This window comes from Homo sapiens, chromosome 2, assembly GCF_000001405.40.
Source record: "Homo sapiens chromosome 2, GRCh38.p14 Primary Assembly".
Classification (NCBI taxonomy): Eukaryota; Metazoa; Chordata; class Mammalia; order Primates; family Hominidae; genus Homo; species Homo sapiens.
In genome coordinates this window covers 143,801,919-143,820,819 of record NC_000002.12, presented here as the reverse complement: position 1 = coordinate 143,820,819, position 18,901 = coordinate 143,801,919, and the positions used below count along the sequence as shown (strand labels likewise).

The window sequence follows — 18,901 nt, the reverse complement described above, 5'->3', positions numbered from 1 at the left end:
AAATTATTCAATCCAAACATGCAACAAATGTGCCTTACTAAGGAGCATATAAAACATAAACGTACAAATTCTGATTTGATACTAGGGGAGCACAAGACAGAAGAATTTTGCAAGTCTTCCATCCTCGCGCACTGGTTTTGGTATCTTTTGGATTATGGCCCAGTGTACTCACAGTATATTTCTGTATCACTCAGGTACAAGTAAGAATTTGAGGCTCATTTAACAGTGTGAATTTTCCCAACGTATCACAATTACAGAGACACCTGTGCTTTCTAACTTTTTGCTGATCCACTGTGATAATTCAGTGTGTTTAAATAACCATATTGCTAGTGTACCTAAGTGCCATATTTTATTTTACCCTTCCCTTACTCCCCCTTCTTTCCTTTCTCCTTTCATTCCTTACTCTTTCTTTCTTCTCTCCTTGTCCAGTTTTTGCTTCTTCCACCCGATGTCTTTGTCCTCCCTTCTTTTCCTTTATTTTTCCTTTTCTTCTCTTATATTTTCCTTCTCCTTGTTGAATTTTTAAAATCTGCCTTTTTTATCATGCCCATGGAAGTCCTAAATTTGACAAAGTTTTCATTCATTCACTAAAATGCAGAAAAACAAAGCTCCAAGGATGCTGCCTATCAAAAAGCAGTCACATTATTCTATAGAAATGATATTTATTGTTTTCATTTTCTATCAGGCATGTTTCCTGTTTCACAATGATAAAAATAAAACTCCTACAAGGCTATACGGTCATAAAATTTGGGTTTAAGAATCTAGTCTAATGCATAGATCTGCTTTCACATAGCGATCGCCTGTCGAGTCACAACGGAGAGGCAGACCTTCCCAAGTTTCCTATGTAGCACTGTTTACAAGGCAGTCCTGTACTTCTGGTTTACAGCCCTGTGTAGATGCTGTTAGTTATACTTAGATCTTTTTTTTTGGTATAATGGAATTTAATGAGAAGGAAAGTGTGCTTTCAGTTTGCATTTCAGAAGGATTTATCGTTAAACGTAGGATATGTAAAACCACATTTTCCCAAAAATAAGCAAAGGACTCATTCACAGAAAGAACAAAGTGTCCCACCTGAACTGACAATGAAGGAATTCTTGTAAATTTTGTGTGAAGTATATCAAACATTAAAAAGTACTTTTATGAAGCCAACAAGTTTCCTACCTTCTGCTGAAGTCCACCTTAAGGTTGGTTACAACTCTGGTGTGTTGCTCATTTGCAAATCCCACTGCTGTGACTAAGAAAGGGTGGGGCTGCATCCCAAGACATCTGTAGACCAGAGGGGCTGGCAGGGACCTCAGAGCTTTCCATTGAAGTGAGTACTTGCAGCCTGGCTGCAGGAACACTTGACCCGAGGTAACTACTTCCACATATCAACACCTTGTCAGTGGAGATCTGAAAGACACACAGGCTGTAGAGAAAAGGAAGTACCTGCTTTAGGAAGAGCTAAGAGCTCCCTCCCCCTTCTACCACCAAATCTTTAGTACTGAAGAGAGAAAGGAGAAGTTTATAGTTATAAAGCAAATTAAGTGTTTCAATTATGGCAGTGATTGGCTTTGGTTATTGGTAACTATATAATGAATTTCTAAAAATTTTTTTATAATTATATAATGAATTTCTAAAAAGAGCACATATGATTATCTAATTTTAGAACAATTTAGTTCCTTGTGGTCAGTGGTTCTAAGTGCACTGTTGTGGCACATACATTTGTTGTGATTCTTTGTAGGAGGTTCACAAGTAATTTGGGATTAAGAATAGTTTTCAGCCGGGGGCGTGGTGGCTCACGCCTGTAATCCCAGCACTTTGGGAGGCTGAGGCGGGCGGATCACGAGGTCAGGAGATTGAGATCATCCTGGCTAACACGGTGAAACACCGTCTCTACTAAAAATACAAAAAATTAGCCGGGCGTGGCGGCGGGCGCCTGTAGTCCCAGCTACTTGGGAGCCTGAGGCAGGAGAATGGCGTGAACCCGGGAGGCGGAGCTTGCAGTGAGCCGAGATCGTGCCACTGCACCCCAGCCTGGGTGACAGAGCAAGACTCCGTCTCAAAAAGAAAAGAAAAAAAAAAAAAAAAAGAAAAGAATAGTTTTCAACTGATTTACTCAAAAATAAATGGGAGCAGAGGAGTCAAGGTTATTTGTACAATGATTTCATTCTCACTCACTGATATTCCCTTTTGCATTCTTGAGTGAATGAGAAAAGGCTGGAGGTATCGCTAACGTCCTGAGGATTGCACACATCCTGACACGTCCATGGAACTATGTCCCACGTGTGAACATCATTTGCCTTGTGTTTTGTCGTAGGAACAAGAGCCAAATGCTGAAATCCATTGCTTTAGGATTTGAGTTGATATGTTTTATTTGTCCATACTTAGTCTCATTATAATCGATACACAATACAGCAAAAATTATGATCATGTTAATTATCTAATAATAGTGATAGAGGAGGCATCAAAAGGTCGTCAAGTTGCTCTTTCTGTGGGTTGGGTCATACTAAACATGCCCAGAATAGTCAGCAATGGAACCTAAAGTATGAAAACTGTGCATGGGCTCTTAAGAAGCAGTTGCTGTATAAAAGCTGTGTTATAAAGGGAGCTGTTTTTTGTTTTGTTTTTTTTTTTGAGACAGAGTTTCACTTTGTCACACAGGCTGGAGTGCAATGGCGTGATCTTGACTCACTGCACCTCCCAGGTTCAAGCAGTTCTCCTGCCTCAGCCTCCTGAGTAGCTGGGATTACAGGCGCCCACCACCACGCGCGGCTAATTTTTTGTATTTTTAGTAGAGACGGGGTTCCACCATGTTGGCCAGGCTGGTCTTGAACTTCTGACCTCAGGTGATCTGCCCGCCTCGGCCTCCCAAAGTGCTGGGATTACAGGTGTGAGCCACAGTGCCCGGCCAGGAAGCTGCTGCTTATTAAAATAAGCTCAAAATTGTTTTGGGAATAAGCAGGCCTTAGTTTGCTTGCATTTGCTGAAGTTTAAAGTATTTCAATTTTAGGGGATGTGCCTAATGCTTATAGAAATTATGAGCTGATATTGTTTTATGTGTTTTTGAGTTTGTTTTATGTCCATTTTCTTTTCTAGAAAGTAAACTCCATGAAGACAAGGATGTCATGTTTATGTTCATTTTGATAGCACCTATAATAATATATCAGCACCTGTTATTCAACAGAAGGTCAACAAACATTTGTTGAATGAAGAAAAAACAAAACAAAACAAAAAACCCCTCTGCTTTTCCCCAGAAAAAGTCAGCATCACATTTCCGCCATCTCATCCACTGCCTCACAGCTTTTTCCAGGTCTTAACTTTTACAGAGCCATTCACAAGAGATCAACAGATATAAGGCATTGGTTTCTATTTCTTTAGAAAAAAAAGAAAAATCTGATACAACTTCACCAGCCAACGTGATATTTCTGGTTTCTTGAATTATTTGGCAAAGGGAAAGCACAGGTTGAACTGTTTAGAAAAGATAATGGATTCTTTCTTGAATTTGGAGGACTGGAGCCTTTACACATGGTTTCAAAGTTGATTGAACACTTTAAGTCCAATGAAGGCAGATTCTGCAAATGCAAAGAAGTCCTAGCTGATGTGAACCCAAAGTGTGAACACATCACACCACAACCATGTGGAAACAATAGCCTGTATGGGCAACAAAGGTTTCTATTTAATGAGAGAAGTGCCATTGTTCTTGAAAGCCTAATTTTGTAAACATCTTACAGTGCTGACTCATCAGTCCTGAAAATCCAATAATAAATCACCACTGTGATTTAGCACCGGTGCTAGAATTCAGATCACGAAGCATGCTACAGCATCAGCTGAAACTCAAACAGGTCGCTGAAAGGTGCATTTCATCAGCAAGGAATTTAATTCATATCAAAGGAATTCTACCCCAAATGAGTGGCAACTGGCTACTTTTGAAAGCTGTTAACTGTTGGGGGAAATGAGTTGTGTTAGTCCCCTATAAAAAGGTAATAATCTATAATCCTGGATGCTTTAAAAGTCGTTTCCTCGAACTCCACAGCAAACAATATAAAATAACAACCCAATATATTTGTATCTTAATCATGTTTGGTAATGAAGCCCTTTAGATAATTGGCACTGCTTCTGTAGTAGGCCAAACTTTCTTTCAAGTTACAAATACTCACAAAAGGTTTACATTATAAGGGGCTGCTTTGGAGATGTGCAGATTTAGTTTGGAAGTACAAAGTGAACATGCAAATTGCCTTATCTTGTGGGATTCACAAACAAGCATCATTCAGATTGATTTAATACATGGCTTTTTATCTTTAAAAGTGTTAATTAGAAAATAGGGACAGTTCTCTGAACACTTAAGAGTAATAAATAGATCAAAACAGCATCCATGCTTCTGTGATGGAACTTCTGAAGGCTTTGTAAAGGGATTAATACAATTGTCAAAAAGACCACAGTATTCATATTTAACAGTGCCACCAAGCAACAATTACATTTTTTAGGACTTTATTGCTAAGTTTTTTAATACTTGCTATGCTCAGAAAACTGAGATTTTGTACAACTTTTGTTCCATACTTTGAAGTTACTATTTTAATTTTCCCACATTGGACCTCCAAACACATTTTTCCAGAGAACATTCTAAAATGGCAAGCTAATATAGGAAGTTATTCAGGGAAGAATGGATTATAGAAGTTCACAAAGTGGATTACTAAGAGAAAAATAATTGTGATTCATGCATCTTCTTTTGAATGAAAAATATAAACTATTGTCTGACAACTTGCCTCCACTTTGAAATTTATCTATAATATGAGAAAGTGCTCGAGGAGTTAAATCTTGACTCTGCCACTGACCACCTCAGTGATTGATATGGTGTGACGGTTTGACTGTGTTCCCACCCAAATCTCAACTTCAATTGTATTTCCCTTAATTCCCACGTGTTGTGGGAAGGACCCAGGGGAAGGCAATTGAATCATGGGGCGGGGGGTGGGGTGGGGGGGTGGTCTTTCCCGTGCTGTTCTCGTGATAGTGAATAAGTTTCAGGAGATCTGATGATTTATCAGGGGTTTCCACTTCTGCTTCTTCCTTATTTTTCTCTTGCTGTCATCATGTAAGAAGTGCCTTTTGCCTCCCACCAAGATTCTGAGGCCTCCTCAGCCTTGTGGAACTGTAAGTCCAATTAAATCTCTTTTTCTTCCCAGTCTCAGGTATGTCTTTATCAGCAGCATGAAAACAGACTAATACAGTGACCTTAGGTAAGTGAAATCACATCTCTGAGCTTCAGTTTATCTGTAAGATGTGCAAAACTATAGTCTCATAGGGTCTTATGGTGGGGATTAAATAAGATTGTGTTGAACAGTGCCTGGCACTTGAGTAAGCACCCTGTAAGTTATGATAATTGAGGCAATTGCTTGTGAATCTTGACGGTGATTTTCACTAGGCTTAGTTCTACGGTTAGCCTAACATCCTCACTATAAATAGTTGTGAAATGCCTCTATAACTTTATAAGGAAGACAAAAACACCCAGTGCAGGGTTCATAACCTTAGCTTCTGAGTCTCTAGTGACCTTGACTTCCCCTCTCTTCAGCCATTAGTACGATTCAGAGGGCCAAGCCATCCTTTGAGCCATTTCCTTTCCAGGGCCTCTATTCGTGTTTGTTTTATTACTACTTCCTCTTTATTCAATGTCTTGATTTAACTAATAAGATATATAGGTGGCAAAATAGTAAACAAATATAAAATACATAATGACATTGTCTCTCCCCACCCCTAATTCCTTCTTTGCCAGAAAACACAGCATTTTGTCCCTCGTTCTAGAAATTTTCTTTGCCTCTTGCTTTTCATTTTTCTCTCTTCTAAAAAAACTTTTCTGGATGACTCCTTTCAATTCTTTAAGCTTTGTGTTTCATTTCTTTGACCACATGGTCCAAAGCTCCTGCTTCACCCAATTCCTTCTGACCTAGAACCACATTCCCCAGGCCTTTGGCCCTGGGACTGTCACCCTCTCTCTTCTTAGTCATCAAATGGCCCTTCCATTTTTCTTCTCTGCCTGTCTGATCAGTCTTTCAGTCACCCACCTACCTGCCCTCCAGAAACACTTCACTTCCTCCCCTTCTTCCGCCATGCTATGAATTCATTAACTGCTTGTCTACACTCACTTCAAGACAATGGTAGTAGAAGGGCAAGTTACAAAACTCTAATCTTGGAAATCACTATGAATTTCTATCATTTCCTATCGGCTTTGTTTTCCTCTTTTTGGTCTCAACTACCATTAGCTTGTGTGAGCACACTGACAGGTCTGGCAATATACGAAATGCTATACATGCATTATCTTATTGAATGTGTTCATTATTCCTTAAGAAAATAATGAGGGAACAATTACTCCCATTTTACAGATGAGGAAACATGTCTAGAGAAATTAAGTAGTTTGTCTAAGGTCTCATAACTTAGACTTGTGTGAGTAACTGAGGATGCATTCAGAAGTGGCCTGGCTAAGAGTTCAGCCACTGTGCCCTGCAGTCTCTCATGGCCTTTCTGTTCTCTGCCATCCCTTAAACTGATTCTCATCTGATTCTAGTAGTCTAGGTGACACCCTCCACCACCAGCCATAGCCATCACCAGGTTATGCTGCTTCCTAACTTACTGAGAACACGGAAGCTGCTCACATCTTCCTTTCCAATCGCCCTTCTTCTTCCCTTCCACACATCTGTGATCTACCTGTTTGTAATTAGTTATAAGCCAGAAGATCTAGGCTGTCTCCCTTATTCCTGAGCACATAGAGACCCAGAGAGAAGAAGCACTTGTCCAGGCTTCCGTGGTGGAGTAGAAGCTAAATGAGGACTAAAACACAGGCCTTGGATCCTCCGTGATCTTACTGCCCAGGGCTGCTTCCTAGAGGCTGCACTTTCAAATGGGCTCTTGGCCAAGATACCCTTTGTGTACTCCTTTGCCCTTCTCTTCCTTCTATCTTGCAGTCCCATAGTTTAATGAATGATTCCTTTTTCCATTGGTTCCTTCTCTCTGTTTACAGAAGTTTTTTTTTTTTTTTTTTTTCCTGAGATGGAGTTTCACTCTTGTCACTCAGGCCAGAGTGCAATGGTGCAATCTTGACTCACTGCAGCCTCCACCTCCTCGGTTCAAGCAGTTCTCCTGCCTCAGCCTCCTGAGTAGCTGGGATTACAGGTGGGTGCCACCATGCCTGGCTAATTTTTTTGTATTTTTTTTTTAATAGAGACGGGGTTTCGCCATGTTGGCCACGCTGGTATCGAACTCCTAGCCTCAGGAGACCCACCTGCCTATGCCTCCCAAATTGCTGGATTAAATGGGAGAGCCACCCCACCCAACCTGTTTACATAAGTTTTTATTTTCATTACCAAGAGATAAAAACAGAAAGCTCTCTCTTGTCTTTGCTCATTTTCTGCCTCTCTTTCTCCCTCTCTCGGTGCAAAATTTCATCAGTTAGTTGTTTCCATGCACTATGGTTTTTTTTTTTTTTTTTTTTTTTTTTTTTTTTTTTTTGAGGTGGAGTCTTGCTCTGTCGCCCAAGCTGGAGTGCAATGGTACGATCTCGGCTCACTGCAACCTCTGCTTCTTGGGTTAAAGCGATTCTTCTGCCTCAGCCTCCTGAGTAGCTGGGACTACAGGTGCATGCCACCATGCCCAGCTAATTTTTGTGTTTTTAGTAGAGACAGGGTTTCACCATATTGGCCAGGCTGGTCTCTAATTCCTGACCTTGTGATCCGTCTGCCTTGGCCTCCCAAAGTGCTGGGATTATAGGCGTGAGCCACCGCGGCCGGCCTCCATGCATTGCATTCTTTTTCACTCACTCATTCCTTCACGTCTTGCAATTTGACTTTCACACCAGCTTCCATATACCCTAGTTGAAACTCATTCTTAAAGATACAGTCTCTTTGTCAAATTCAGTCTCTACAGTTCAAAAAGTTTTCACAGCTGCAGCTGCTAGAAGCCCCTGCAGGTTTAAACTCAGATTCCTAACCTTAGGCAGAAATTTTTGGGTCTCTAGCCCCATGCTCTGAGACTATACAACTAGTTATCCATGTTGTCCTTTTTGCCTTGACTTTCTTCCAAATTCTTATATTGTCCAATTTCTGCCTCCCAGTTTTACTTCTTGTACTGGAATCTGTTTTGGAATCTGCCTAGAATCCCATATCATCTAGTTTCCTGGGGCATTGCCACTTTCACTAGAAAGCAGAATCCCACCCCTGCATTCCAGCCTGGCGACTGAGATTCTCCTAACCCCTGGTTGATGAATAACTGGGATGTGCCTCCACTAGCTCTACCTTTTTGAGTCTCTCATTATCACTTGCTCTTGGATTCTCCAGCAGATCACTTAATTCTGAAGAGTGCCAGCTACATCTCTGAACCACGCCAATGTTCTGTTGCTCTAGTAAACTTCCTCCCAGCAAATAGGTTTGTCCTCCTAGTGCTAGGGAGAGGTCAAATTCCAGATCCCAGTTTCTTCTAGATGGCTTATGCTAATGTGTTTAACTGGTCCATGCCTGGGCCTATCAATTGCAGACTTTATCAATTGCAGACTCTGTAAGCATTAAATCCTGCTGCTACTCCCACACTCTGGCCCCACCCATCTTTTCTCCCTCATTGCCTTGAATGACAACCCAATGTAAGTTCTCTTCCTGTGTTCCTGGTGGTGGTCTTATTTCTTTGGTTGTTCATAATATTCTCTCTTGTCTTTTTACTTTCTCTCATTTGGAATTCTCATTTATTCCTGTAACTTAGATATTTCACATGTCCAATACCACTAATGTCAATATGACTGCCAAGGGCTACACATACATTTACAACTCTCTACTCTTGAGCTTTTTAAAATAGATGTCCAAGAGACACATGCATATTAATTCACCCAATCAATCCACCATTTTCCAACACCATAAAAAACCAGTTTCTCTTGCTGTTTTCTCCCTACTATTCTAAAAACTACCATTTTTCTAGTTAAAATTTTGTGGTCATGATTGATTTTGCTGCTTTTTACATCCTATCAGTCACCACATCCAGTCACTTCCTTTTCATTGTCAATTGTATCTTGGCTTTCCTTTATTCTGGTTAAAGACTTCATACTCTCTTAGTTGAAAGCCACATTTTCTTGCATGGTTTCTCCTGGCTCTGAGTTATTCCTGTACCTGCTTTGACTCCATGTTCCATGTCACCATTGGACCAACCTTTCTAGAGTGGGGTTCTAATACATGATGTCTGCAAGAATTACTTTATAATATCTGGTTGCTATATGGATATTAGTTGTTCATCTTATTTTGTCACTGACTTGGTAAAGTATCTTTAAGTTCTCCTGATGCCTACTGAATAAAGACAAAATGTCACTGTCTAGCTTTTAAGATCCTCTGTAATATTTTCTAAGTTTGCCTTTCTAGATTTATTTTCTACTAATCCCAATGGATTACATTCTATCTAGCTGAAAGCCTTGCCATGTGTTGGACACATTCAATTTCTTTGGTGACTTGAACTCAGGTTCATGCCATTCTACCCCTCCTCCACCCAACCCCAGACTATCTCTGCCCCAGTGAGAGGGAAATAAGCTGAACAAATATCTAGCATTCTTTGGCAAAGGATGGCTATCATTAATTAAATTTTTAGGTTCAGCATTGGTCCATCTGCTAGTTTTGTACTTCTTTTTTGGGTCATGTTTGAACATTAAGTCGTAATCTTTCATCCACATGGATATCTTCAGAAGAATGAAAAGTAATACTATTGATCATGTAGCAGAGATAAAGGAGTTGGAGGGTTTCATTGATGACATACTAAATTTAAGCCAAGAGCATAAAGTAACAATTAAAAAGCTAGAAATATCTTAGGCTGCATAGATTGAAATTATCTTGTGAGAAATTACAATGCCCGGGCTCTTAGTATGGCTTGGACTATGCCAGGATATTATGTCTGGGTACCCATTTGAAGAGAATCATGGCAGAATGGAGTCTGCACAGAAAAGGATGGCCAGGATGGTGAAATACAGAAATTATTTTATGAGTTAAATGAGAGAAGGAACCAGGATGATTTAACCTGTAGAGGAGATGATTAGAGAAATAAATGTCATCTTTATATGTATGTAAGGCTATTATAAAGAAAAGGCATATGTTTGTTCAGTCAACAAATAGAAGTAGGACAATTAGAACTATTTGTGAATCAATATTATAAAAACTTTCTAGCAAGACCTCTCTCTCATTCAGAGGACAGTAAATAGAGTCTGAGTGACCAAGATTGCTTTAGAAGGGTTTCCTACAGCAGGAGGAGGTTGGACACAAACAACTCTTTAAAATTTGAGATTCTGAAATGGAAAAAAAAAAAAAACCTCTGAGAAGTCATTGGAATAACTTTATGTTAAAAAGGTATGGACTAAGGTAGAAGTCCTGGCAATGAAAAGACAGCCCCCACTCCTTCAAAAAATTGTGAATTGTGAGAGAAATATCAATGAAGTTCATATTTGGGTGACTTGGCAAAAGTGATCATTTGCCTGGAGAGTTCACGGTGGCATGGTCACTATGAAAGAGCACATGACCACAGAAAAACTTTGGACTGGGATGAGTTGTCTTGGAGTAAACTGCAATTCACCTGGGAAAGTGGTGAAAATATTACAGGCATGGAAATTCTGTAGCTATGGGAGAAACTCATGGTTGTGCCTAATTCCCAGGAGACCATTTCTGAGCATCTACAGCAGACACAGCCCCATGCCCACCACCTGGCCTTGAAGTTCACCTGATGGACTTGATACCTATAGTCTCTTCCCTTATGTCTCAGCTGCCTCTCTCCCCATCTGCATTCTATTTTCCTTGCACAGTGTTCTGGCTAAACTCATGGGTGCCAAGCCATCTCTAGGAGCTGTCTGTCTCTGGTCTTCCATTTGTCTTCAGGTTGTCAATTGCAATTGTGAACACAGTTGAGTTTTATTTCTCACAGCTGCACTACCAGTGGCATAAACTGGTGTTCAATGATTCAATAGTCCCCACCCCCCCCACCCTGCTTATTTTTCAGTCTCACATCCTAGCTACTACATTCTTTCACCACCTGTTTTGGCTACAGATCATACTCAGTTTTTTATTCCAGACTGACATGTATGGCCTTGATGCAACTTTACTAGTATCAATGGAAAGAAAAAGATTACCTATAATCTTCTCATAAATCATAGAAAAAGTATAAAAAGCATGAGCAAGTGTAATTTATCACCCTGAGAAGTGGGCATGTAATTACTTGCAAGGCTGCTTTTAGTTTATAGCATAGTTTTCTATTTCTGTCCTTAAACATTTTGCCTGCATTGAAGTTCTGGAGAATTTAGCACATTTGCAAATGCCTGGTGCTGATGCTACTTCTGCAAAATCATGTGCACATCATTTCAATGGCATTGCAACTATCTCCAGCATAGCTAGAGGGGTCTACTAGAACTTCTACTCCAGATCTCCTTGACTAGTATCTTGGCATTTTTAATTGTTCAATAAATTATAGTTCAAGGTGAAGTATACTAACAGATAGTGTTTACATAAATTAAAAACCCAAATAACTTACAGAATTAGATGTCATTTCTTTATGGTGGTGGTGCTATTGCTGGAGTACTTGGCACTGCTTTCATCAGATTATATCTATTCATGTGTTTAGGGCAAACAAAGACAAAATAAATTTGATTTTTTTTCAATTTTTTCGACTTAATTTATTTCTGAATTTCAAAATTCATCTTTATCTCTCCACACCTAAGGCCTTTTATCATTTCCTTACCCAGAAACATTTTCTTTAAAAGTTTAAGCACTTTGAGGATTGAACACATGGAAACTATAGAGCATGCTCTTCTCTCATCAAGGCATTTTGACTTCATGAAAACATCCACTCAAAGTAGAGCAGGCTCTTACTTGAGAGGCTTTCTCAGCTGAGCAGTTCTGGGCATGATCCAACATGGTCCCTATTCTGACTCTATTTATGATCCATGAGGGATCACAACCACCTCTCTCAGAAAGGAGCTCCCTGGTTCCTGGTGGGCTTGTTGTCTTCATTGCTGGTTGAATCAGTGGACATCCTTATGCACAAAGCAGCCTAGTGCTAGCTCTCATGCAGGGAAATGTGGACAGAATAATTTCAGCAAAAATTGGGCATGGCAGATAAATTAAACACCATCATTTGCATAGTGGTTGGATTTTAGTTATCTGCATTAATGGATGTTAGTATTTTGCTTTCACTAAAAATTGGTCCTTTTGGAGCTAGAGGTAATCTTCTGTCAAATAGTTATAAACAATGAAACTGTTTTTATGGAAGTGAATTTCAAGAGAACTTAAAAGCTGTTGAGTGTCCCTAGCCCATCTTTTTCATACCTGTTCAACTTATTAATATATCTTTCTTCCATCTTATCTTGAGGATGGACCAAATTAACCATTAGCTAAATTTAGCATACTAGCCCAAACAGATCTGCATTCTCTTTCTAATCCTACCCTGTGACTCACTCTATTTCTTAACTGAGGGAACTAATTAAGCACTTTGTTGCAAAAGTGTCCCCCTCCCATTCAGCTCCTGCTGGGTTCTTGGCTGCAGTTGGAATAAAAGTGAATGAAGATGGTGATAATGTCAACCAAGTTGCTATACATGCAAAATTTGTAAATAAACAAACTTTGTCAGGCACCTACCTCATGTAAGGTCATGGTCTAGACCCTGTGGTAACATGCGGTCCTACACTATGATACCTGCTGTTGCCGGTGACATAGGGAACACATGGAAATTCTGGAGCATGGAAATTATCCTCCAGAATGGTTCGTCGGCGTCACATTCCCTCTAAACAGATACACTGCAGTGAAGATCTGGGTCACTTTTCTGTGGGTTTGAAGCTTATTGAAGGTCTTAGATCAGCCCTATTCCCCTCAAATGACACTGTACTCTGTTCAGTGTTGCTTTGGATCAGACCTTGTGAAAGGGGGTGGGCTCTGGACCTCTGGCAAGCTACTGGCATCCTCCTCCTGTGTTATGTGCAATGTTGCGTAATATGTCCCTGTTAGGCAAATGTGCTGCAGTTGAAAACAAGGTTGGGACATCAGTGTTCCTCAGGGTTGGGGATAACCTTTCATGTACTTCCTCAAGACACAGTATTACTGGATATATTTGATTTACACATAAACTAGGTAAGTTTTAAACTCTCTAAGATATAGACATTTATGTATTGCTTGCATTTTATTTTCTGAATTCCTTCATTCTAAATCCTGAACAATATTGCCTTTGTTATATAATCATACAGCTGTAGTCTTTTCTTGAAAATATGCTAAGTTCATTTCTACCATAGAAAAATAATAGACATTTGGATTCCCTCTTTGCCTTGTATTATAGGATACGAGAGACTAGTAAAATGCTAATAATATTTTACTAGGAGAATAGGACACCTTTTCTGACTTAACTACATTTAGGTGACATCATGGCTTCACATGACAACATGAGTTAAGATGAAATACACTCATTAAAAACCAAATGCCATCATGTCATGGGTAACTTGTGATCTCTTGCTTTGGAATGTGAAGCCTTGCAGAGCATGCCAGAGCCCACATGATATCTGTTATTAATCATAAGAATAAATTCTACCCTACTCTTTAGGTTGTTCATTCACATCACCAGTTAACAACTCAACACAATCTTTAGTAATAGAAAAAGAGAAATCTTGTACATTCCACTGATTTGAATAATTGCTTGGAAACTTGATAATGTGTTAGCATTCATTTGCTGAAAAGTGGGCCAATGATGGTAAAACGATTTCATCTTAAAATGGGTATGTGCAGCCGCGTGTGGTGGATCACGCCTGTAATCCCAGCACTTTGGGAGGCCAAATCAGATGGATCGTGAGGTCAAGAGTTCGAGACCAGCCTGGCCAATATGGTGAAACCCCGTCTCTACTAAAAATACAAAAATTAGCCAGGCATGGTGGCATGCACTTGTAGTCCCAGCTACTCGGGAGGCTGAGGCAGGAGAATCACTTGAACCTGCGAGGCAGAGGTTGCAGTGAGCTGAGATCGCACCACTGCACTCCAGCCTGGGCGACAGCGAGACTCCATCTCAAAAAAAAAAAAAAAAAAAAAAAAAAAGGGTATGTGTCTATTTGTCTGTATCTGCAGCTGGTTAACTCCTTGGTTAGAACACCTGGTTAATGAAACCCATATTAGGTGCTCCTCATGGGGCCCTGTCAACATCTCTCTTTTATGGGTCATGAGTTTCATATCTGACCCCAACCTGCTGCCACACACATGTTCACTACTGGCCAATAAGGAGAAGTAACTAGAGATCATCCATTGCTTAAAGCAAAAGCATCATCACATTGAGGAAAACAACTCATAGCACATAATCCATGGAGGGCAGTTCGGTAACATCGCCTCGAGTGTATCTGTGGTTGTGCAAAATGGACATGTCTGGATGTAAAGACATGCACCACCAGAGACAGTTACTAATCATGTCACTGATGGAGATTCGTCTGGGGAAAGACGATTATGAAATAGCAGTTTGTATCAAAGATTAGTTTAAAGACAGCTGTAGATTTATTATTTTAAAAACTCTGGATGAGGGTATTGAATTCGATAAACTTTAAAGTCCTTCCAGCTCTAAGTCCTTCCAGCTCCCTACAGTCTCCAAGTGCATTGATTAACATACATAATGTAAAACAATGTAGTTTTGTAAAGCAAAATTGGCAGGAAGAGAATATTCTCTCAAGAAAAAATACTTTTCTGTGAGTCTTCCCTTCAAGCTACCAAAAAAAGGTGATCAAGTAGAGCTTAAAAATAATTTCTGGGCTTAAACTTAAAATTCTTTTATCTGGAACAGATTATTTCATTCCACAATTAGAAATGAGATCCAAAATGCAAATATTACTCAGAGAGATAGCACATTGCCTCATATTCACACTATGGTGTTAACAACTGCTATAAGAGCCATTTTACAGAGTAAGTTTGAGAGGGGGAAGCATACCTTATTCAAATATATGAAGATGATTTTACAAATTGTATCCTATTTTATTCCAGTCCCAATTCTGCCAACCCTTCTGGGTATGTTACAGTTTTAAAGACAGTGCTTCAAAATCTGAAGAGGGAAAAAAATGGAAACAGCTTAAATGAGAATATCACTCCTAGGCTTTCACCAAATACATTTTCATAGTTTTCCAGTTTGTTATATCTTCTTGAGAAGGAGTGAAAATTCTTGGAATTAAATGTACAATAAAATACCACGTATATACTCGTTCTTTAAAGCTTTGTATCTCTATTTTTTCTAAGCTATCTTAGTTTAGATCAAGTCTGTCTTGCATCTGAATTTGGCAAGCCACATTATTTACTGTCCTATTGACCAGAAGGAAATCCGTCTAATACTTGAAGCTCGATTCCATTTGAAGATCTGTTCAGTCACATAAAAGTGCTATTTTGATAGTAATAAAACAAAGTTACATAGGAGAAAAATATCTTTGTAAATGAACTGGATCTTGAAGCTGCAGGATTGCTGTTCCTCATTGTCCCTGTACATGGAAAAAGGGAATCAGGGCTCCAAATATGGTGAGGGATTGCAGGTTGGCTATATGAATTCTGTATTCTTGATATAAGAGTTTAAAAAGGGTTACAAAGGGACACCATTGAATTTGGTCCTGGAGAAGCTTTTCTATGAGTTTGGCTGCTCTGTCCTTGTGGGATTGTGCAGACGCAGACCTCACCTGTGATAGTTATAGACACATGAACCTCCTGAAATCATTTGAGCGGGAATCACAAGGAAAGAATAAGTCTAGGTGTTTTGCAAAGAAAATTTTATATGCCTCAGCTGTAAAATGATTCATTACCCAACCCGTACTGCCCAAGAGATGTCAGGCTACTTGAACAGAAATGGAACAAAAGGCCGCCTACCTGGCTCACTCACCTCAATTGCTCTCTTATGCAGACAACTTTGAACCCTTTTCATCCATGAAGCTGAGACTGGCAAAAGCTGGCAGGCTCCATCCCAGTGCCCTCCACTCTTGCCCTAGTTTGGTGCCCAGTGTTTCTAGTTCCCCATCCTAGGTTTGAGACTAGATGCCTGCCAAATCCCTTCTCTGGTGAGAACAGCTATTACTTTGGGCCCATGTAAAGGCCTCCTCAGTGAGATCATTTTGCTTAACTTTTGATTGTTAGGTGACCAGACCTTTGAAAAACTGATATTCTTTTCCCCTTATAACTATAAACTGGAAACTCCACTCATTTTGATATGGTGTATTGGAAGACCGGGCTTTCATTCTTCTGAACTTCCCATATAATCAAAAGAACCTAATGAATTCAAGTTGCCTGTAACATTTTGTGTGTTTCTGAGTTGAAACCAAATTCCTAAACAACTATGTGAGCAATAATGAAATTCAGGCAGAAAGGTTCTATTTTCCTGTTGTTAGAAAAGAGAATTTTATGGTGAACTCCTGGGTTCTACTCCCTGTGATTCAAGACGACATAACATTTAGCACTTATCAAATGCATGTTAGCACACAGCTTATGCCAAAGACCCTGAAGAAATGTAATGACTGAATTGTTTGATCAGGAATGCAACTTATAGAATTATATAAACTTGCATTCTACCATGTTAAAAACGACACAGACATCTATAGATTGCAGTTTAATTGTGGAGATGATACAATAAAAGAGCTCCCTCATGCTTCCATATGAGAGGGTTTAGGTACAGTAAGCAGAACGTAATGTTTCCAGTTGGAATTTGGCCAGAAGCTGAAGATTAAAAACCTCAGTGTTATGAAAAGTTCCATGGGATGTTTAATGACTAGAAATAGCCAGAAGCTTATATTGATGGCATCCCAAAATAGTACCTCTATCTGGATTAGTCCAGCCGGGTCATGCTGGGGCACAGTTTGGGCAATAGTTAAAAAAGAAAACAACAACCCATTTATTGAATCATAAACATAATTTCTAATAGCTCTGAGTTGGAGATTTGTGTTTGAGCACTACTTACCAACTTTTACCAGCTTCTTTGGATGTAGCATCCCACTGGCACTCAATAAATGCAATAAAGAAAATATGTTAGGTAGGCTTGAATGATTACGATGACAGTTAGCATAGGGAAGCAAGGACCATAGTTGCCTTTACAAGTAGGTGACTGAGATGGCTTCCTATGTGATGTGTTTTCAAAGGCAAGGGGAAGGACACAACATACCACACCACCTTGGTTTGGTTTGCTGGTGCCTGAAATTTCAGAAATGCATTTTTTTTTTTTTTTGATTAGCACTTAGCCTCCTATTTCAAAGCAAATCTACTTGAAAAAGTTAATACATAAAATTTAGTTGTCACTTAAGTCATAATATAACATGAGCTTTTCATATCCTATTCAAAAGTTTTGGTAGAACTGAAAGTAAAAGATCTTTAAGAATGAAACTACTGGGTGAGTGAACCACTAGGGGAGGAAAAGTTTGCAACAAGGCAAGTATGAGGGCAGCAAAGACAAATTTCTCCAACCTCACTTTTATGGGCTGAACTGTGTCTTCTTGAAATTCATATGTTTGAGCCCTAACCCCTAGTACCTCAGAATGTGACTATATTTGAAGACAACAGGGTCTTTGAAGACGTAAGTAAGTAAAATCAAGTCATGAGGGTAGCTTCTAATCCATTTTTGTCCTTATAAGAAGAGGTGATTAAACACAAACAACACAGATTGAGGGATGACCACGTGACGACACAGGGAGAAGACGACCCTGCTTACGCTTTGACCTTGGATTTCCCAGCCTGCAGAACTGTGAGGAAATGAAATTCTGTTGTTTAAGCCACCAAGTCTGTTGTATTCTGTTATGATAGCCCTAGCAAACTAAAACACTCACTCTTTTTCAAAGGGAAGGTGTCAGGACTGCTAGTTAGATTGCTCAGCTTCTTTGAAGCTGAGGCTTTTATCTGAAGTAGTTCTTAGATCTTTCTAGCCCCAGGGAAAACCCCTATGGACCAGGTCCTTCACCTCAGGCTGATTTTGTCAGGCATGGATTAAATTCAAAATATTATTTGGACATACACTGGAAGAAAGGTGATGAGCAAAAATTAAGCTAGAAACACTAATTGTGGTGCTTCCTATTAGTGAGATGGAGTCCGATCAAGTCACTGTTTGAGGAAAGCCATGGTTGATTGGCCAACCCTCCATATTAAAAATGAGGACTGCCTGTATTTTCACTTCTTAAAAACTATGGGCAATTTTCCATGATGTCCCTCTGTTGGGCACTTCTGATGTATTAAATGAATTTTGGTAAGAGATTTTCAAAATGGGCTTTTGGAACTTGGATACTTTGGCATCAGCAAGCAACAAAGGGCTTCTTGTATTAATATTTTTAAATGTAAATATAAAGTAACTGCGGTAACAGCAAGTCAGGGTATTCATGTTTAAAACCAGTTTTCATTGTTAATAACGAAACTGCAGACTTCTGACTCAACTGTTAACGTGTTGCTGGTGGAACCCGGGAGTCTGAAGGGCAAGGATAATTTATAGTTGCCAAATCACTGAGAGAAAATTCCAACTATGTAGAAATGTAAATATTCAGTATTAGAAAGGATAATTAAGGATAGGCTAAATATTTACCCAGTTCTCTTCTTTTCAAATTACAAATAAGACTATTCTGGTTGGTTCATGTTTTCTGATAGAAGAAGGGATAGAAAAAAATGAGAGTGGGGGGAATGTCTTTCCTTTCCTATCCAAAATATATCTCTTAACTCACACAGGCATAAAATATAGCCCCCATTCATTTTTTTAACCTTAAAATTTGTTACACAATTATTTTACCATACTAAACTGCTGATGAAATTTGTATGTGTTGCATCAAAACTATCAAAGATATGTTAAATACGAACATGAAAAATATAATTTTAGCAGCAAATTAAATAGAACATAAATCACTTAGAGAAAATTTGTAGATTAGAAGGTTGCAGCTATTTAAATGTTCAAGGACTTCTAATTGTCA

At 39.3% G+C, this 18,901-nt stretch overlaps 1 annotated feature.

Annotated features, from left to right (window-relative positions):
* Positions 1,314-1,514: a silencer, noted in NCBI's record as "peak3890 fragment used in MPRA reporter construct". NCBI's record gives its function as "represses an SCP1 promoter by STARR-seq MPRAs in K562 erythroleukemia cells {active_cell/tissue: K562}" and the evidence as "EXISTENCE:reporter gene assay evidence [ECO:0000049][PMID:32103011]".